We start from the raw sequence: 23,333 nt of genomic DNA on the forward strand, positions 1-23,333 counted from the left end.
GAAATGAAATTTAGATTTAGATTTTTAAGTGAAATAATTGGAAAACTAGGCAAAAATATGCCCATATACTTAGTCAAAGATTTTTTCTTCATCCAGCCATGGTCTGAGAAGCAATGCATATATGACTAAAGATTTCATGTGCAAAAACCAAATTACTTCAGAGTGGATCTCTCTCTCTCTCTCTCTCTCTCTCTCTATCTCTATCACACACACACACACACACACACACAAAAGCACCCAACAGCTATTTAAGCAGCAAAACTAAAGAGGCTAAGATTCCAGAGATAAGGGAAGCAGAGAGAAATCAAGCTCTCATTTGACATCACTTTTCTCCTAGAGGCAACTTCTGATTTCCCAAAAACAGTTGATAAGCAGAAAAGAAAGTGACAACTGAGAAGCTGGGCCAAGCTTCCAGTCTTTTGTAGCTGGGGTGACAATATTGGAGACCATAAGGTAAAGGGCCCCTGATAAACACCCAGGGTTCTCAACTGGGATCTTGAAAAACATAAATCCTAGCATTAGACAGCAACTAAAACTTCTTTCAAAGACCTCAGCCTAGCTTTAAACACAACTGATGCATGAATTAAATGAAAGTATTATTCCCTTTTCTAAACTGCTTGTAATGCAAAATAAAAAAGATAACACCTCACAGAAAGAAGATAATACTTTTCAAAGCTTTAAACTGTCTCCATTTTTTTTATACATGACGTCAAGCATTGAATTTTAAAAAATGAATTAGGTACACTAGGAAAGAACTCACCAAAATCCAATAGAATATACATACAATAAAAACAGGCCTTAGAAAATTCTGATATTGGAGTTACCAGTCATGAATTTTAACACAACTATTTTTTAACAGTTAATACATTCAAGATCAGTATCAAGATATTAGATTGAAATGTTAAATGAAATTTAGATGAAGAAATAATCAGGAAAAATCCTATAAGTGAAGAATAATATAACTAGAATTAAGAACTCAAATGATGGTACAGCCAAAGAAAAGATTAGTGAACCAGAGGATTGGTTAAAAGAAAATATCCAGACTGGAGCACAAAAAAGGAAAAGAATGAAAAATACAAAATAAAACAAAAATAGTATGAGAAAGATATAGAGCACAGTAAATATGTTTAACACATATGCAATTGAAGTGCCAGAGGCACTTCAATTAGAAGTGAGAAGAGAAGGAAGAGAGAATGGAACAGAAACCATCATTGAAGAGATACTAAGGATTTGTCAAATGTGATTAAATAAATCAACCCCAGACATGATAAATACAAAGAAATGATACATGTGTACATCACGTCAAAACTTCTGACGATCAAGAGCAAATAAATCATCTTAAGAGAAGTCAGAGAAAGGACAGACATCTTCAAAGAAGCAACAGACTTCTCAATAGAACAACAATATGCATAAAATAATAGACTCAGATCTTTGAAGTGCTACAATAATATTTCTAGCGCCCATACAGAATTGTATACTATGTACTTCAGTGAACACATACTTCATGAATGAAAACAAAACAGACATCTCAAGCAAAAAGAAAAAATTCATTGCCGGCATGTCTGCACTAAAAGAAGTATAGGCCAGGCACAGTGCCTGTAATCTCTGCACTTTAGGAGGGTGAGGTAGGTGGATCACCTGAGGTCAGGAGTTCGAGATCAGCCTGGCCAATGTGGTGAAACCCTGACTCTACTAAAAATACAAAAATTAGCCAGGTGTGGTGTCGGACACCTGTAATCCCAGCTACTAGGGAGGCTGAGGCAGGAAAATCACTTGAACCTAGGGGACAAATGTTGCAGTGAGTTGAGATCGCATGACTGCACTCTAGCCTGTGTGACAGAATGAGAATCCATCCACAAAAAAATAAAGTATAAAGTTCTTCAGATAGAAGAAAAATGAGTCTTGATGGAAGCATTGAAATGCAGAGAAAAATAGTGCTTTGTGATTAAACAAAAATGATTATGGACTACAATAATGTCTTGGTAGATTCTAAACATAGGCCTTATTTAAATATATGTCATCTATGACACAACAACATCTATAATGCACATAAAATGTGTACATTAAGTTGAAGTATTCTAAGTTCTTTGAGTGGTCCAAAAGTTGTTAAAAGTACTATTTTTTATTAAGAATGAATGTAGCTATGTCTAAGTAATCATGAACAAAATAATAAAATAATATATGAGAAATATGCTAACAGAGGGAACATGGAATATTAAAAATAATATAAAAGAAGGCAAAAACAGAAAACGGAGAGAAAAACTGAGCAGATAAGTAATAAGACATAAATATACAGCAAAACATAACAGTAATACTAATAATAAACGTTCCAAATAAAAGATGTTTGTCAAGCCTTAGGAAAAAATTCTATATGTTGTTTACCAGAAACACACGTTAAATATAAGAAAACATAAGAAAATAAAAGAAAACTAGTGTAAATAATGTTAGATTTTAAGATCTAAACATAACTATATATAAGGATGTTTCATGATGTTAAGATAATAAACCTATTAAAAAGAAATAACAATTAAAAATGTGTATGCATATAATGGTGTGGCCTCTACTTAGGGTGCCTGAAATGACAGCACAAAGAGGAGAAATAAATGTTAAAGCATCTCTTCTAGTTCTAATAGAACAACAAGACAAAGTCAGTAAAGATATGGAAAATTTGAACATGATTAGCCAAATTGTCCTAATTGATACAGATGGAGAACATTGTATGTAATGATTGAATTCTTTTCACATTCTTTTCCAGTGTATGCTAAACTTTTACCAAAATTGCCCATATGGTCGACTAGAAAGAAAATCTCAAAAATTATCAAAGCTTTGAAATCATTCAGGGTACATCTCTAACTGTGGTGGAATTAAACTAGAAGTCAGTTTTGTAAAGACTCACCTTAAATAATGCCCATTAATTTGTAAATGAAGCGAAACACTTTTCAACTACATGTGGATTTAAACACACACAGCATAATTTTTTTTTTTTTTTTTGAGATGGAGTTTTGTTCTTGTTGTTAAGGCTGGAGTACAATGGCAAGATCTTGGCTGACTGCAACATCTGCCTACCAGGTTCAAGCAATTATCCTGCCTCAACCTCTCGAGTAACTGGATTACAGGCACCTGCCACCATGCCCAGCTAATTTTTTTTTATTTTTAGTAGAGACGAGGTTTCACCATGTTGGACAGGCTGGTTTTGAACTCCTGACCTCAGGTGATCCACCCGCCTCGGCTTCCCAAAGTGCTGGGATCAAAGGTGTGAGCCACTGTGCTCGGCCAACAGTATAATTTTAAAATCTATTTAACTAAATGGCAGTGAACATATGAGATTCCCAAACTTGTGTGAGGAAGCTTACATTACACTGAGAAGAAAAAATTTGGCCTTACCTATAGGTTTTAGAAAAGAAGAAAGCCTGAAATTTTTTTAAAAAAAATCTTCAAATCCATCACAAGAAGTTAGAAATATAGTAGAATATTGAGCCAAGGACAGTAGAAGGCAGGGAATAATGAGTAGTAACAAGTGAAATAACAAAACAAACATGAAAGAATTAAACCACCCGGTTGTTGCATATTTGAAAACAGCATCAAAATTAATGAAATCCTGACAAGATTGATCAAGAATAAAAGACATGATAACCAATATGAGGAATAAAAATGAGAAATGCATACAGATATGCACCAAAAGGCATGTTTAAGAATGTCATGGAAACATTATTCATAAAAGTCCTAGAATGAAAACCATCCAAAAGCCCACCAATAGGAAGGGTAAGTAAATTACGAAATATTCCTACAGCGGAACACTATACAGCAATGGGAACGCAAAAAGCTTCTGCACATCTTGTTTAGTGGATGAATCTTGTGAATGTAATGCTACACAAAAAAAAGCAGACATGAGAGAATACCTACTGTATGACTCCAATAATATCAGTTAAGGGAAAAACTAATCTACTGTTTCAGAAGTTTGGTTTTAGACATTTTCTATGGTTTTAGAAGTTTAGAGTGGGAACAGTAAGTACTCTTGACACTGGGAATATCTTGATCTGGGTGATGGTTACAAGGGTGATTTTTGTGAAAATTTGCCAATATAATCACTTATGATTTGAGGATTTTTATGAGTTTAAGTTATGCTTAAAGAAAAGAAAACCCTTTAAGAAAGAAAAATGATCTAGAGAACTATGCTGCTTTTAGTGTGAAATGATAACTTTAATTGCAAAAACTAAGAAAAAGTGTATAAAATGTATTTGGCAAAATTCCACCTCAATTCACTCACCAAACTGTCATTCCAATTACTTCTAAACAACATTATAAGTATGATTTTAAAGTCAACTAAAGTATTATTGAAATGACTGTTATAGAAAACAATGCTTTCGTCTATGGCCATACCAGTCTGAAGACACCCAATCTCGTCTGACTTTGTAGACAAAAACAAAGCTTTTGAAATATTTTTAAAACTCCCATATTTGCGATTTGTTCATTTAAAAAAAAAAAAGGCAATGTGTGGACTGGACGCGGTGGCTCATGCCTGTAATCCCAGCACTTTGGGAGGCCAAGGCAGGTGGATCACTTGAGGTCAGGAGTTCGAGACCAGACCGGCCAACATGGTGAGACCCCATCTCTACTAAAAATACAAAAAATTAGTGGGGCGTAGTGGCATGTGCCTGTAATCCCAGCTACTCAGGAGGCTGAAGTGGGAGAATTGCTTGAACCTGGGAGGTAGAGGTTGTACCACTGCACTCCAGCCTGGGCAACAGAGCGAGACTCTGTCTCAAAAAAAAAGAGAAAATGCAATATGTGATGATGGTTAAAAAATTACATAATTCTAATTTTATATATATATACGTATATATGCATGTCCGTATAATACATGCATTGCATATGTTTATATATTTATATGAATGTATTCATATTCATGTGATAGATATGTACTGTACATATATCCATGTGTATACATACTCAACTATATATACATATAGCACAGTAACATGCCACATTCTTTTCTGCAACTTGTAATTTTCATGAAACAAACTCTTTTAAAATTGTTCATGTCAAATGATTAAGACATCTTTCATTTTTTACTGATTTATTTTTTGTGAGGTGATGGGACTTTAAGCATCTTCCTCAGTGTCTGGCACAGAACTATCATTGATCTTCTTTAATTATGTGTTTAATCCCATTTATCTCCATTCCACCCTAGTTCTCACACCCCTACTCTCTAACCACAAACAATCATTCGTTTTGTTTGGATGTTTATAGCAAATTTGGTATCGCTGTATGCCAACGATGTATTCAACATTTAATTTACATGCATTCTTAATTTACATAGATAGTATTTGTTATACATCCCATTCAACATCTTACTTTGTCCCCTCCACACTTGTTTTACATGCCTATTTCTGCATGTTTTCTCTTCTGTTTTTACATGGTACTCCGTGGTGTACCTCACCATTTTTACCTATTCACTATCACAAGAAGAGGCATCCAGATACTGCCTCGAACTTCTCACACCACAAATAACACTGAGAGAAACACACTTACACATGTCCTTATGTAAATCCCAATGAGAATTTTCTTTAGTAAATATGCCTAAGAGCGAAACCACTGGTTTTTCTAGTATGCACGTATTTAATTTGTCTAAATACTATCAGATTGCTTTCCAAAATGGCTGTATCAGCTTGTTTTCCCACCAGCAGGTCACCAGGGTCTCCGTATCCCCACGTCGCCATTCCTAGTAGGTATCACCCAGCTTTCTACATTTTGACTTTTTAATAAGTAAAAGGTTATGTCATTGTTGCTGTAATCTGAATTTCTCTAAATTGCACAGTTTTAGATTTCCACTTAGACAAATTGCCTATCCACATTTTAGTCTATTTTTATCTTGGGGTATCTTTTTATGTTGATTTGCAGGAGCTTCTTATATATTCAATGTAATTTTTGGTCAATTTTCAACATTACAAATATCTTCTCTTATGTTGTCATCTGTTCCTTCACTTTATGCATGTTATTACTAATCTGAAATCTTTTAGTGTCATCAAATACAGTTTTTCTTATGGTCTGTGATTTGAATGTTTTGTTTAAAAGTTATTCAATGTCCCTGAGTCACAAAGATTTTTTTCATTAATTTTCAGTTTACCTTTTATATGTTTACGGAACATTTGTGTAACTTACATGGAATCGATGTGATATAACTGCTAATCGATATTAACAGTTGGTTCTCCCTTATTCTTCTTAATGGATACATAATGTCACTTCAGAAGAATACACTTAAACTTACTTAGCCAATATGCAACAATGACAGTTCACATGATTTTTTTGACATTATTATTATATTCAAAAATGTAAGGAACATCTTAGAATTGCCAGAGCAATGTGTATGTATTTTTTGTTCATTGGCTTGTTTGCATCAATATTACCAAACTGCCCACCAAAGTACGGTTTTATCTGTGATGTTTAATAAAAGTATATTTTATATTTCATAGGTATAAACTTATACACAATCAAAAATTATCCATGATTTGGCATTCTCTTGTGATAATAAAGATTCTCTTGTGATAATAAAAATTCTTAAATTATATTTTCTTCCACCAGCCATGCTGGATAGTCAGATTCTGCTTTTACTTGAGATCCGTATGTTTTTCTTGACATTTCTTGATATGTCATATTATACTTTATGTAATTTTCCACTTTTATAAAAAAGGGGAAGGTGGGGGTGGAATGGTGACAAAAGTGTTACCAAAAAAAAAAAATCTCTTAAAAATATAGTAGTTTATAATTAGGTTCCTCCCTATGGCAAGATACACATGAAAATGAATATTTGAACACTATACATTAAAATCAGAAATACTACTTGCAAAATGATTACCCAAACCTAATCATAATCTCAATTAATTTTTTAAGTGTTTGCACCAAAGGGCTCTTGCCTTATCAAATGGAATGATGATCATTATTACCAAATATTTTGAAGGTACTTGACTATAATTTTGGCCCCAAACAAAATATTTGCTGAAACCGAAAGGATTTAGCAGTTAGTTCTATTCTGAAAGACAGGTTTTAAATTATTTTGTGGAAAAAAAATATGCTTGACACATAAATATATCACTAACTCATTTTTAAGCAAAATTAAACATTTTATTTCATGGCGGGAAAAATCTCCTGTGTGAATGAAAAATTTAGTGACTGGGCTAAAATGAGACAGCAATGATATATTTTTATTTTAGCAGCACGTTGGCTAGGATGTGAGGAGACAGACACTGTCATTCATTGTTGGTGGGGCTGGAAAACAATACAAACTCTCTGAAATACAACTGGGCAACAGTATCTAATACATTAAATATAGGATGTCGGTTTAAAAAACTCTGGGGTATTTATATAGGCCGGGCGCAGTGGCTCATGCCTGTAATCCCAGCACTTTGGGAGGCTGAGGCGGGTGGTTCACGAGGTCAGGAGTTCAAGAGCAGCCTGACCAATATAGTGAAACCCTGTCTCTACTAAAAATACAAAAATTAGCTAGGTGTGGTGGTGCACACCTGTAATCCCTGCAACTCGGGAGGCCGAGGCAGGAGAATCACTTGAACCCGGAAGTTGGAGGTTGCAGTGAGTCAAGATTGCACCACTGCACTCCAGCATGGGCAACAGAGCTAGACTCTGTCTCAGAAAAAAAAAAAAAAAAAAAAAAGAAAAGAAAAAAAAAGAAAAAAGAAAAAACCCTAGGGGGTAGTTATATAAATAAATGTTCTGTTCTGTGGTATCATCAGAAAGAATATTTACACATGTGGGAAAAAAATCACTAAAATTTGTTAGTGAAAAAAATGAGTCTTTATAAAAAATGAGCACTTTCCACATTTTGCTATTTCTTGTGCTCTCCAGTGATTAGAAAGTTACACATCCTGCAGATTCCCCTATTAATATCAATCATAAAACAATATTTATAACCCAAAGTATGTTCACTCGATCATCTTGCTTTTATTTTCCTCCTTCCTTTGTACTTCTCAGTAATTTCAGATTTGCAGTGTAGATGATTATTGATAAATTATTTTTACTTTAGTAATCTCCCCTTGGAATGATTATTTTTAGCATGATCATTGTATCCTTTAACTATATTTTGCCTGTAAGTATGAAACAAACTCTAAGGTTTATGAGTTTCATTTGTTTCTACTTTTCCATCATATTCTCTCAGTTCTTATGACTGTTATTTTTATTCAATTATTTGGTTGGAATATGTCCTTAAGTACTTTTTTTGACCAAAGTTTCAGAATGATTTATTTTCTGAGACCTGTGTGTCCGAGAACATTGTTTAACCCTCATGCATGAATGAGTCATGGCTTCCCTTTGTTTAGAAGTCTTGGATCACAATTTTTCATCCCCAAAAGAGAAGGATTTATGAAGAGAAAACATTTATGCCAAATTTACCTCTTCCCCCTTTCTCTGTTACCTTCTTTTTCCATGCTAATATTACTAACATTTTTCATTTTTAAATTCTGAATTTTCATTCGAATTACATTAGATTTAATTATCTTTCCTCTGATATCATTTTACCCAGGCACTCAGTAAATTTTTTAATCTGAAGACTCACATTTTTCTTAATATCAGGAAAATTTTCCTCTATTATTTCCCATTATTGTTTCTCCATCTGCTCTATCATTTTCCTCTCCATTTTCAGCATGTACTCACATACTGAGATGAACTATTTGTAAAACGATTTGGTCTATTTCTTCTTCAGCTGGGAGGAAGTAGTATGTGGAGGTAGAAGTGATGTTTGTAGTCAACCATCTCTTAGGGGTGGGATTAAACGTAATTTTGGAATTAAAAAAATTTTAACTGCACGTTTCTGAAGATGTCAACAAACAACTTTTGTAATAACAAAAAGTTATTTTCATAAATGAAGAAAGCCCTAGAACAGGAAGGTGTGTAAAATCTACAAGAGTCGCTTTTCATTTCAATGATTAGTGACCAACCCCAGCCACGCTATTGTGAGTACTTGCATTTCACAGTCTGAGTGAGACATAAGAGCCTATAAATGTTTTAATAATGACAATAATTATGGTTATAATAGCAGAAAACAAACCTGTGAGTAAAGCTAGAGAAAAATCGAGATTACATTGCCTGAAGAGATACTATTAAGGTGAGCTGAAAAGGAAATTTTTCAGTGTAAGAGGGGCCTTTCATAGTGAGATCATATATTCCCTGCATGTGACATCAACCCCTAAAAGAAAATTCAAGATACCATAGCTTTTCCTTGACAATAGGTATTAGATTCCAGAAACCTCCCACAGTGGAAAATTTGGCAATTAAGGAATCTATGATTGATGTGAAAATAAAACTGGAATAAATCTCTGAAAACCCTCAAAAATGTACTTAACTACAATAAAATAATAGCATGGTAAATGAAGATATGGTTGAGATATCCAAACCTTAAATTAATAGTAATTAATGTTAGGCTTTTAATTTCCATTTATTTATTTATATTTTATTTTATTTATTTATTATTTCATTTTACTTTAAGTTCTGGGATACCTGTTCTGAATGTGCAGGTTTATTACATAGGTATACATGTGTCTTGGTGGTTTGTTGTGCCTATCAACCCATCATCTAGGTTTTAAGCCCCGCATGCACTAGGTATTTGTCCTAATGCTCTCCCTCCCCTCTCCCCACCGCCTCTGACAGGCACTGGTGTGTGATGTTCCCCTCCCTGTGTCCATGTGTTTTCATTGTTCAACTCCCACTTATGAGTGAGAATATGCAGTGTTTGGTTTTCTGTTCCTGGTTTCCATTTATTCTTTCTAACACGTAGAAGTATTTTAGAATTTACCCTTAATTCTCAAAACATTTGTAAGGTAGTTCAATTTTATTGCAATAGACATATTACAGTGATTGATTTTTTTCCGGTGTGAGTGTTCTTGCTATTTCTTGGTCTCCTTCAAATAGTGATGTCTTTTGGGTTCTATTATCTGAGATTTTGTGACTGATCTTCCCAGCCCCCACCACCTTAGGTCCTGCATCCATCAGCATTTCTTGAGTCAATTTCACCTTTTCCCTTCTTATAGATTATTCCGGAGTGTGGCTGTAAGGGATATCTTCACTTTTCTTCTTGCCTCTTTGTGATCTTCCAGTCTTTTTCTATAACAGACCCTGCCTAGCTAGGCCAGGCCATTCAGCCCCTGCCCAGCCAGTCCAGTGTTATTTGTAGTCACTGCCCATGAATATTTACATAGTCTTTGCTCAGGCCATTCTCCCTGCTACATAAAGTGCATGATCAAGTGCATCACGTAAAGCCGTCTCATTGGGAAGGTCTTATGTCACCACTATCTTTCAAGGCTACCCTTGACTATGGCTACAATGCAGCCAGCTGTCCATTTTAGCTTGGACTGCTATACTGAGATAATCTACCTGTTGATCAACTTTGGTAATTTATTTTCCTTCCCTCAGTTTGTTTTATGGGACCCCCATAGGGCCATCAGTGTGAATTGAGCGAGGGACACAAGGCTATCATGCCGCGTACTCATGCCCTCTGGTTCTGCTTGGGCTCAATCTCAGCTGTTCCATTTCCATTTTGTGATAGATTATTATGATGCTTGTCTGGCTTGATGAACTGATGACTCTGGCAGAATCCAGCTCATAATAGAAGGCCTGGATGCATGGTCACTTATTCTCAAACACTCCTTCCCTCCCAGGGTACAGTGGGATGATGATGCACAGTTCTTCATTGCAAATGGCTTCTCTTTGTTGCAGAACCCCAGGGCTCTGCACTGAGAATCCCCCACTGTCATGACCTCATCTCTGCATCACTTTCCACCGCCGACACATGGTGCACATGGCAGGGATGCCTGAACGCAGCCTGCACCTGGGGCAGACCCTCTTCCTGCTCCAGGTCCCACTCAGAATGGACAGACTGTAGATCACAGAAATAATCCTAGTTGTGTGGAATTTGTTATTTTGATTACATGTATTAGGCAGTACCATTATTCACTGCCTACCTATTTCATCCCTTAGAAAACTGTTCCTATTTCATTGTATAAATGATCTCCACAATTCTCCGTGGGTCTGTCCATCTTCCTCGTCACTGTGATCTTCTCAATCATTACAAATTGCTCCTGGATGCTGGTGGTTACGTGTTACTGCCTGATGTCTATTGCTTTGAGACACCATCATCCCCACTGCAGAACAGAACTTTCACAAAAGTTAAAGATGCAGGTGCCTGTCTCATCAGCACATGTGCAGCAGCCCTGGGAATGCTGAGTCGTCTGGGCCTTGCTGAGGAACATAATCTTCTGGTGGGTCCCCTGGCCTCAAATCTTACACCCTCTCCAGCATAGCCTCTGTGCTGAGCCTTTTAGTCCTTTCTTCTACCATCTGCCATAGCCATTGAACTTTGGATCTTCACCCAGCATGGGGGCCAGCTTGTTTTCCAGACTTCTAGGAGCCATTCTCTCAAGAAGTTTTTGTTCTTCCCTGGTGTTAAATCCCATATATTGAGAGCATCCCCATCTTATGTCTGGACACCTTAATCAGGCACCCTCAAAATCCAGTCCATGGGAACTGCCATGGTTTCCTCCAGCACAAATGGTTTTCTTACAGGCTCCTTGGCATATCATCTTCAACAGGCTTAGCACATCTCAAGTAAGCTGTGACTTAACTTTAGTTTTGGCTTCGTAGCCAGGAGAAAAGGTGGGGCACCTCCAGAGGTGGGCTCTGTGATTGTTGCAAGATTGAGAACTCTGCAGTGCCTCCCCATGCAGTGGGAAAGCTGGCTCTCCGTAGAAAGGAGGGATCCACCTCTTGAGGCTTTGAGGAATTGGAGGGAGCCCAGAATCTGCAGGGTGCATGAGGGAGGCTCACTGGAGGGGGGCTAATGCCTGTGAAAGACAAAAGGAAAAAAAAGAGCAAGCGATTCTCCTGCCTCAGCCTCCTGAGTAACTGGGATTACAGGCACGCACCACCATGCCCGGCTAATTTTTGTATTTTTAGTAGAGACTGGGTTTCACCATGTTGGCCAGGCTAGTCTCAAACTCCTGACCTCAGGTGATTTACCTGCCTTGGACTCCCAAAGTGCTGGGATTGCAGGTGCCACTGCACTCCAGCCTGGGGGACAGAGTGAGTCTCCACCTCAAAAAAAAAGGGAAAAGCAGAATTTGGCAAGGAGACCCTCCTACTGCAATGTAGATCTGACAAGCTATAGCCAAGCCAACAGGGAGCTCCAGTGCAAAAAGTGCCCATTAGAGGGCCCAGCCTTGGGCAGAAAACACCAGGCCCTAGTGCCTCTGCCACGCTCAGGCACTGCATAGTCCTGTGTGAAAGGAGCATGAACTCAGCTCAAAAGCTGCAGTTGATCCTGAAGGTGCCGTATTACAAGCTGTCAGCTAACTGCCCTCCTTGAAGTGAAATGACAACTCCTTTTTTGGAGGAAGATCGCAGAGACCACAGTCCATGACTACCATACAAGCAAGATTCTCTCATGATGAGAAACCTACAAGAATTAGGAGTTAGTAAGGAAATAGCAAATTTGTGAGTTACGTCATGTGTTTAATCCAGTACATATGATTTTGAGAGTAAGACTGAGCAAAATCACCCAATGCATTGTTCTTTCTTTCTCTTAGGAATTTATCACTTAATTCTTCACCAATTAAATACACACTCACATAATTTAATCACAGCATAAACATAAAAAACAAAATTTTCTTCAATATTATTCATTCAACACCTAGTATTCTTTAGTACTATATATTCCAAAGTTCTATATCTTAAACCACAATGAGATATTATCTCACCCCATGTAAAACGGCTATTATCAAAAAGACAGAAAATAGGTGAGGTGTGGTGGCTCACACCTGTAATCCCAGCACTTTGGGAGGCTGAGATGGGCAGATCACCTGAGGTCAGGAGTTTGAGACCAGCCTGATCAACATGGTGAAACTCCTTCTCTACTAAAAATACAAAATTAGCCGGGTGTGGTGGTGCATGCCTGTAATCCCAGCTACTTGAGAGGCTGAGGCAGGAGAATTGCTTGAACCCAGGAAGCGGAGGTTGCAGTGAGCCAAGATCGCGCCATTGCACTCCAGCCTGGGCAACAAGAGTGAAACTCCATTTCAAAAAAAAAAAAAGAAAAAAAAGACAGAAAATAACAAATGGTGGTGAGGATGCAGAGAAATGGAAACCCTCATACACTGCATACGCTGCAGGTGAGAACATAAAGTAGCATGGCCACTATAGACAATGGTATTGAGGTTCCTTAAAAAATTAAAAATAAAACAATCATATGATCCAGAAATCCCACTTCTAGGTATATATCTCAAGGAAATGAAGTAAGTATGTTGAAGAAATATCTGTACTCCTATGTCTACTGTAGCACCACTCACAATAGCCAAGCCAATCAACCTAAGTTGTCCATCAGAAGATGAATGGAGAAAGAAAATGCAGTAGATACATACAACGGAATGGTACTCTGCCATAAGAAATAATAAAATCCTGTCATTTGCAATAACGTGGAAAGAAATGGAGTACATTGTGCTAAGTTAAATAAGCCAGGCACAAAAAGACAAATCTTGCATGTTCTCATTCATATGGGGGAGCTAAAAAATGGGATCCCATGGAGACAGTGAGTAGAATATTCAGTGGTTAATGGGCTGGGAAGGGTAGCAGGCGGTGGGTAAAGAGGAGCTGGTTAATGGGTACACAAATACAGTTACAAGAAACAAGATCTAGTGTTTGGTAGCACAATTGGACAACTATAATTAACAATAATTGTATATTTCAAAATAGCTAGAAGATTTGGAGTGATCTCAACAGAGAAATGACAAATATTTAAGATGATGGATACATATTACATGTTTGTCTCAAAATATCACATGTACCCCATAAATATGTACAACTCTTATGTATCCATGAAAAATAAAAATAAAAAATTAAACCCATAAAAAATTACACCTAACTAGGACCTTAGTGATTCTCAAGTAAACTCTCATATTTTATAAATGAGAAAAATGAAATTCAGCTCAATTAGCTGACTGTAAGTGGAAAACACAGTTCTTTGGGTTTAGAGTTTCTATATTTAGCAAATAAAAATATAGGATTCCCAGTTAAATTTTAGTTCCAGATAAGCAACAGATAATTTTTTAGCGTAAGTATATCCATGCAATATATGGGATAAACTTATACTAAAAAGGTATTCGTTGATTATGTGAAGTTCAAATGTAACCGGGTGTCCTGTAGGTTACCTGTTAGTCTTATCCACGCTTCAAAATCACCGTGTCTCCTCACCACTTATAGTTCCTACTCCAGGGTTCTCTGAGTGTGCTGCAAATTTCTGTTGTGACTAAAACCGAAAGACTGGAGCCGGACTACAGAGGAAAGATCACTAAAGAAGCAGCAGTGGGAAAAATCTATGCGTGGCCTTTGTAAAAAAATAAAAATAAATTACAAAAACTATGTTATTCAAGATACACGCTGATCAAATACTCAATGCAGTGTGCCTCGCTAGGGTGCTGAGCCAATGCTTCTCACACTGGGAGTCATGACTCATTAGTGGGCTGAGAAACCAAATTAGTAGGTTGTGAGAAGCAATTTTTTTTTTAATAAAATGGAAGAGTATGCCAAGCACAATGGCTCGTGCCTATAATCCTAGCAGTTTGGGAGGCCGAGGCAGGCAGATTGCCTGATCTCAGGAGTTCAAGACCAGCCTGGACAACACAGTGAAACTCCATCTCTACCAGAATACAAAAAATTAGCCAGGCTTGGTGGTGTACGCCTGTAGTCCCAGCTACTTCAGGAGGCTGAGGCAGGAGAATTGCTTGAACCTGGGAGGCAGAGTTTCTGGTGAGGCAAGATCGCGCCATTGCACTACAGCCTGGGCAACAGAGTGAGACTCCGTCTCCAAAAAATAAATAAAATAAAATAGAAGAGTATAGAACAGCAAATGTCATCATGTAATCACATATAGTAAGAAGGACTATTTTGTGAAATTTTTGTTTCCATTATATGTGTCTATGTGTACTAGATCAGTACCATGCTAGGCCCGCTGAGTGCTGAGAACAGAAAATTCATCTGAAATCAGCCACATGAACTGACAATTGTTTTCTGGCTTGGGGAACTCATTTTCCACAAAATCTCAAAGCCTAGGGTCATACTAACCGATAAAACAACTGGCTATAAGACACTGCCTATCCCCATCGGAGAAAAAGAAAGGGCTCTAGAGCCACAAAGGAGGCCTCTAAGAAGGTATAAACATGAGATGGTGGCCGGGCATGGTGGCGCACACCTATAATCCCAGCATTTTGGGAAGTCTAGGCGGGTGGATCACTTGAGGTCAGGAATTCGAGACCAGCCTGGCCAACACGGAGAAACCCCGTCTCTACAAAAAATACAAATAGTAGCTGATCATGGTGGTGAATGCCTGTAGTTCCAGCTATTTGGGAGGCTGAGGCAAAGAATCGCTTGCACCCAGGAGGGAGAGGTTGCAGTGGGCCAAGAATGCACCACTGCACTCCAGCCTGGGCAACAGAGCAAGATTCTGTCTCAGATTAAAAAAAAAAAGAGAGAGAGAGATGGCAATGCATCTCCAAACTGGATGTTAAGATCCATTGGACAATTAAGGTCAGGGAAAGTCAGGGTGGAGCTTGGTGACTACCGTAATCAAATCACATGTGAACTAACCTTCCACATGAACAACCACCATTTATTTTAGTGTGAACACATCAATTCCTTTGGGCTCTAATTCTTAAACACATAGTCTTTGAAAAAATTCCCTTGGAATTCTATGCTCCTAAACAGTTCAGCAGCACAAGCTTTCATCTTACATTTTATTTTTTTTCCATGAGACAGCAAAACATGAAATCTTGCTAATGATCTTTTAAAAGAATATGCTGATTATAAATACTGGTTTTGTCTTCCTCACTGGAGTAACATTGTAAAGAAGAACAAGATAATTATAAAATGGAAAAGATTCAAAACATGGAAAAAGGTTCCAGTCATGACTTACTTGTCCAGGAAGCACACTTTCTCAGACACTCAGTCTTCATAGTACCTTTGACCAGAGAGACAGACAAGTCTTAGAGCTCACAGCTACCAGCCAAGATAAGAAAGGAGTCAATACTCATTTCCCTATGATCTTTTTCCTTTCACAGAAAAATATGATATGTTGAGGAATTTTTTAGTTATAAAATGTGATCAAGGCCAGGCACTGTGGCTCGCGCTTGTAATACTCACATTTTGGAATTCCAGGACAGGAGGATCACTTGAGATCAGAAGTTCAACACCAGCCTGAGCAACACAGCAAGACTTCCGTGTCTACAATTTTTTTTTTAATTATCCAGGCATAGTGTTGGTGTGCACCTGTAGTCCCAGCTACTCAGGAGGCTAAAGTGGGAGGATCGCTTGAGTTCAGGAATTCAAGGTGGCAGTGAGCTATGATCCCACCACTGCACTCCAGCCTGGGTGACAGAGCGAGATCTTGACTCTAAGAATAAAAATTTTTAACGATCAGACGAGAAGTCACATTTTTTTCTTTCCAAATCTACCACATCTGATGTGGTGAAAACATAACAAAATAGTGCGAAATTGCATCTGGACACAGTGCTTTTCATTTGTTGTTTTTCTTGTTGATGTTTGTTTTCACCTTAAAAAAAATCCCAACATTGAAGCTACATCAAAGAAAAACACCTGCATTCTAGGTATCTGTCCAAACCTATTCGAAAAATAAATTTTAAAAAATTCTCTAAATTACACATTATTAATTACATTGAATCATGCATACCTTTTAATTTAAAGCACTGACCATTTGAAATATCACAAAGGAGTGAAATCACTGATATGAAAGGAAAGTGAAAAAGTGCAACTGTTCTTTATATTTTTGGACATTATATAAACAGAAAAGGATCAAAAGGGGTCCTTGTGAAGATGTGATGGTCTAACCCTATGGCCATAATGTCTCTGGGATACATCTTAACCTTTTAGAATTGTTCTCCTTTTTAGGGAGCAAAGGCAGTGTTGACAAGTTAAAGCAGAAAACGGAATAGCTCCAGTCTCCAATTTTTCAGTGCACCTTTAGAGCTGAGCATTTTTTACAGAGGGTAACTTCACATTTGCCCAAGAAATAATATCCTAGAATATGAATAAGAAATAAATATCCTCAGATTAATGCTATATAAATACATTTGCTATAGGTTTCATTAAATATTCATGATACACGCATGTACAGGTCAAATTACCTTTAAATATTAAATTTCTTTCCAGTGGTGGGGAATTTCAGAATTATGCCTTGTTCATAAGGAGCAGAGATGGAACCTGTGCATTACTGTCTGCTGGTAAATTCAGCTTCTGGTTTAACTGGGCCCCTAAGGTTAGAGGGACTTCACTCACAAAACTGTGAAATTGCCCCAAGTGTCTTGTCTCTGTCTTACAAATCTCAACTGGAACTTAAAGATGTACTAAAACCCTAAGTATTTTACACATATTTTAAAGAAGAAATGGACTGTTTGGTGCCTTGTGCATAATATGCCGCAGGCACATTACACAAATCTCATTTAATACAGCCAGACCACTGGAGCAGGAAGTATTATCCTTCCACAATATGCAAGTGATAAAAGAAAGGTTCAGAGAGACATCCTAAGTTGCGTGAGATCACAAGAAATAGCAGCATCTGGATGGAAACCTGGTTCCACAGGGCCCAGAAGATCAAGTCTGTCATTGGTAATGTCAACTGTCACACAGGACACCATGGATCACAAGGTTTTCAAATCATTAACAACTTGAGGAAGTCAAGCTTTGGAGAGCATCCCCCATCCATGTACTGAACTGAGGAAATGCCCTGGGGGATTTGAGTCAGTGTCAGTCTATGGGGGTGACTCCCATATTGGTTCCTAGGACCCACTCCCACTGTTCCTACCATTGAGACTTTTGCTGTTTCCCTAAATGAGCTTTACATAGCGTTATGGAGCCACTTGGAGAGTATGGGAATAGGCCTTCAGCATACAAATTTAAACATATTTCTAGGTTGACCCAACCATTTATCATCCAAACTAGAACACACTTTTGAGAGCTATTAATAATTATGCTGGGACAACAGGTGTAAACCAAGACTGTCCCAGGCAGAGTGAGATGAATGATCATCTAACCTATACCCCTTTATAGAGCCAAACTATTTCATCCTTCATACATAAATATATTTTAGAAACTTTATTATTATCTTGATTAAAAACACAGGTGAATTGTTTGTATATTCTAAAGGGGTTATCGTGATAAATGTAAAAATGTTAAGTATGCCACAAAATCCATAAGCCTGTTTTCCAATTCCTTATTTTCTGATATGCCAATTAGCTCAAAATAATTGGAAATGGTACAGAACTCCTGGAACTTCAGAGAGGCTCTGTCTACGTCCCTAGACCTGACCATGTCCCAGGTTCTATTATTACAGGTTAAATTACCTGGACATTCCCACTTCTGCGTCACTTCAAACTCAGTATCAGTAAAAGCAAACTCCCCTGAGTTCATCTTCCCCTGACTGTGCAGGGACATTAGGTGACTACCTGTCCTCCTACTGTCTTAGGGTCCAACACCTGGCTGAGATATCACAGTGTGACACTTTGCAATTTTCCAGCTACAAGGGAAGAAGAAGAGGGGAGAGATGTAAATGAGAGCCAGGGCCAGAATCCCTGTTTGGTGGCACGGCCCATGGCCTCTGCTGTCTGTGATTTCTCACACTCCACAGGGCAGGGTGCACAAGCTGCAATGTCAAAGAGAACTCCAGGAGCAGGGCGGAGAGCCAGGCACCTGAGCCTCTGCTGGCAACGTGGAGAGACTCAGGGAACTGGCTTCTGGGGAAGGGGAGGTGTCAAGGATGCATGCTGCTTTCCCATCTGACACTTACCTGCACACCATCTGGAACACCTACTCAGAGCCGGGAAGACCCGTGGCCTCTGGGGGAAATGGGAGCCCTCCGCTGCAACCCCATAGACCCTGAATTGACGGATGCCTGCTCTGAGAGAGCAGCGGCAACTGCCAGGTTATACAATCCCACCAGGATAAAGACACCCTTCGAGAACCCTCCCCCAGGCTGTGATCCCCAGTGGCTGTTTAGGAGGCCTCCCCTACAGCTGCCCCCTTCTACCTGACTGAATGCATCCCTTCCCACACAGGCTCTCACATCAATGCTGGTACACACACACACACACACACACACACACACACACACACGCACATCATGTAATGTTCCTACAACTTTAAACCCGAGTCTCACAAGATTGTAAGGTCCCTTTTGGTGCAAAGTACACCCTCATAAAAAGCAAAAATACTAACAAATAATTATGCAAATGATGATCCTTACTGTAAGAAAAATGCAATTGGTGCCCTGAGAAGAGATGAGACATGAGAGGCATCAGTGAGTCCCATAAGGCCATGAGATGATGTCCAAAACTGCAGGCAGTCACTTCTCTGATTATCCATGTGGTAGCAACAGAGTGGACCAGGCCCCTGATGCTCTTGACCAGCCCCTCTGGTCGCTAAGTGTGTCCCTTATCTGCCTGGTCTACCTGTCTTGCTGGTCTCCATGTTAGAAGCAGGTTATTATAACCCATGAGGGAAACTTGCTGGGTCCCCATACCATTGAGTGTCCATGAACCACCCACCAGGCTGCCACATGAGGACAGAAGAAACTTCTGTTGATCAAGCCACTCCATTTCAAGGTCTCTCTGTTACAGAAACAAAACCTGCATCTAATTAATACAGTTGATCTGCACAAATTTTTATGTTACATCTTGAAAATGGGGCATTGTTATCCCATTCTACACACAAGGAAGCTGAAGTTCAAAACGTTAACTTACCATCTTAAATCACATAACTAATAAAATAGCCCAAATTTAAATACTTTTTAGGGGCAAGGCTGCATTTGGGAATTTTGCTTAAACAATTGAATATTTGTTCTTAACAATCACGAATGAATATTTTCCAATTGTTACTGAAAACCACTTTTGTTTCTGGAAAATACAGAGAAAAGTAGCCAGTATTCAGTGACCATCAAGTTTCCTAACTGCCATAAAATTAGGAAATTGTTTACCAAGCAGAATATTGCTTGTGAAATAAAAGTGAGTAGTTTCTTGTATTTAAAGAGGCTTGTAGCATATCTTAAAATAATTGGTGTTATCTTTAAAAATGAGTTATTACAGCATCAGAGCTGAGAATCACAGAGAATCACAATGTTGACGGCCTTGTCTGGCAAATAGACTACTTATGTAGGAATGTTTTTTTAACTCCATGACTAAATTTTTGTATTCTCTAAGACTAAATTATTTTCTTCTCATAGATTTCTTGAATACAGAATCCCTGTAAGATTTGTCTTTTTACCTACAAAACTACTCACACAGTTCTGAGCATGCAATAGATGCTTAAAATGTTCTTATTCACTTAAAGTGTACAATATTCCAATGATAGTTCTAGTCTCTGAGAATCAAAAGCACTTGCATGGTGTTTTACAGTTTATAAATCACTTTTATAAATGATATTTGAGGTACAATTACTATTATTATCTTCTATGTAACACATAGAAGCTAGAGCTGAGAAAACTGTAAAGGGTTTCCGAAGATGTCACGGCTTTTTAATGCCCTGTCTCGATAAGCCGTGTGTTCATCTTTTCACACCAGATCCTACAATCGTGCTTGGATGCCATGGTAGACGTTACAGAATGAATGGATGCATCAATCAATCAGTCAATCAACGAAACCATCAGAAAATGAGCAGTAAAATCATGTTGTAAAGCAAGCAGCTAATTGGGGATCAATGCCAAAGTTATTATTTATGTGTTCTTAATTATTTTTTTCAGACAAGAATGAGGCAGATGAAAACCATACGCAAAAACACAACAAATAGAAAAGAGATTCCACCAAAAGCAATCATCAAGAAAATGTCTCCAGTGAGATTCCCATTGTTGTGAAGGGGCGTGTAAGTATATTTGCACTCAGACAGCTTCAGAAGTGCTTGCCTGATGAAAAGGACTCACCAAGAGCTGAAGAGTTTGGCATCACAGTCCAAGTGGTTCCTTGTTGGCAATGGCCATTGTCATCATAAGGCTGGATTTAACTTCAGAAGTACTGCATGCCATCTGGCTCCAAAGAGCAAATCTATTTTTATAATATCAAATTTGCAATAAGGGAAAACTACAAACATGCTCAGAGTTGGATGAGCTTCCATTTTTAACATGACTGACTTTCACCAGTCTTCCTGGGGGCCCCAAACTGGGTGGGCTCTTTTCCTCTGCTCCAGGCCTTATCTGTGTTAGGTTGTATGATTAGGATCCTAAAGTCACTGAACAAACAGGGTAGGAGTCTCCATAACAGACCTTTTGTTCATATACATTTCACTGGCTTTCGCTGGAGAAGTCAGAGAATGGCTATCATCTCCACACTAATAATATCCTTCAGTAAATGATAAAGTCAAGTCCAAAGTAAACTGAGAAGCTTTATCAGCATGTCAAAGCTATCCCCTTACAGCTCTGTACTTGCCAACTGTGCATCCTTTTCCGAGACAAAGACTTGATGCACATTAAAAGGCACTTACCAGAGTGGGTGTTTGTTTGCCAAAGGAGAGCAGGCTGCCCTCTGATTCCAGGCACCCCGGTCGTCACTCTCATCAGAGGAAGGGAGGTATACTTTACAGCTAGACTCCTTCCTTGATGATCTCCTGAATCGAGTCAGGGGGAGATTCAGAGCTTCCTGCCAAGTTATTCCTTCTCTTTCTCCTTGTTAATATTAACTGATGGACTTCTCAGAGGGACAGTGTATTTCTCACTGTGAGTAGAGAGAACGCTGTGGTCGACCAGTTACTCTTCCACCCTGTTGTCAGAGAAGATGCATCAAAAGGGATTTACACACCCAGTTAATTCTAACAGATGGCCCTTCCCCGGTATTCTGAGAGAAGTTGAAAATCAATCCACATTTCTCTCCAATTCCAAATTAGGCAAATTAGCACACTGGCCTTGATTTTTGGTAAGCAGATTTAGCAAAATGGACACAGTGAAAAAGAGGAAAGATGTAAAAAATTTAGAAAGGCCTATCTCACTTAAAATGCTGTGCCTCTGCCCATACGTTTGATATACAAATGATGCTTATCTATAAAGCAGTGAAAACACTCATCATTTTTTTCTTTCCTTTCTTTTTATGTGCGTGCGTGCGTGTGTGTGTGTGGGTGTGTGTGATTTATCACCCTGTGTCCGGAAACGATGGCTGTATACATGCATATGCTTGTATAATTTGCACAAATGAATATGTAAATACACAGGATACATACATTGTGCATACATCACACACCCAAATAGCATGTGGGTCTGTGTAGCCAATAACAGGAACAATGGGATGCTGCCTACACCAGGAAACAACAATATGTTGCAGGTTTGCTTGGCTTTTTTGCAACTGTGGACAAACATTCCCCCAGGAGTGGATGGCTCAGGGAAGGTGTGATGGGATATGAAGCCTTTCGTCATAAAATCCCCATCTAAAAATCCTGTCAAAATTGATAGGGACAGAAGTGTATATAACACTGTTGCTGTGTTGGTTTCATTCCAAACACAGCATGCTTCTGAATGATCTGTCATTACCATCAGACCTGAAGAAAAGAAAAGCATCCGAGAGAAACCTCTCATTGCCACCTATAGGCTGCAGAAGGAAGGTCCAGGTGACAGCTGCAAGGCTCTGTGAAGCAGCAGGAGGAGATGTTCTGGAGGTCACCAGTTCATAGTCACATTTCCACCACCTTCTTCATTCTTTCAAAAAGCATTTCTTGTGCCAGCATTGGGCTAGATGTTGAGAAGAATGCAAAGGTGAAGAAGAAACATATTCTTCATCTTTGGGAGCACATGTTCTGGGGATTGGAGTGAGACCACTGCAGAGCCAAGCACTTTGATAGATGCTCAGGACAAAGGGGTCGTCCTGGAAGAGGTGATATTTGAGCCCTGGTATGCATTTTCAAGGGCCAGTAGAAGTTTCCCAGGTAGAAGAGAAGGATTGCTTTCCAGGTTGAGAGAAATGGCATAAGCAAAGGGGCATCAGCATAGAAAATACGCAGTGTATTATGGGAAATACAAGAAGTTCTATGTGCAACTGGAAACTTGTCTTCACTACATGTCCGGGGAACAGTGTAGCCTGAGAAGGAAAATCAGATTATGAAAGGAAGAAAGCCAGACTCTGAAAGGCCTCAAGTGCCATGCTATGGTATTTGGAGTTTATCCTACAGTCAAGATCGCCTCCTCTTCTGAGCCTACATTATCACTTGGTTGTGAGACTAATGCTGACCCATTTGGGCTACGTACAGAATCACTGGGAGCCTGACCAACAAAGCAAGAAACAGCAGATTGAAAGAGACAA

The sequence above is a fragment of the Homo sapiens genome, chromosome 15 (assembly GCF_000001405.40).
Source record: "Homo sapiens chromosome 15, GRCh38.p14 Primary Assembly".
Lineage (NCBI taxonomy): Eukaryota > Metazoa > Chordata > Mammalia > Primates > Hominidae > Homo > Homo sapiens.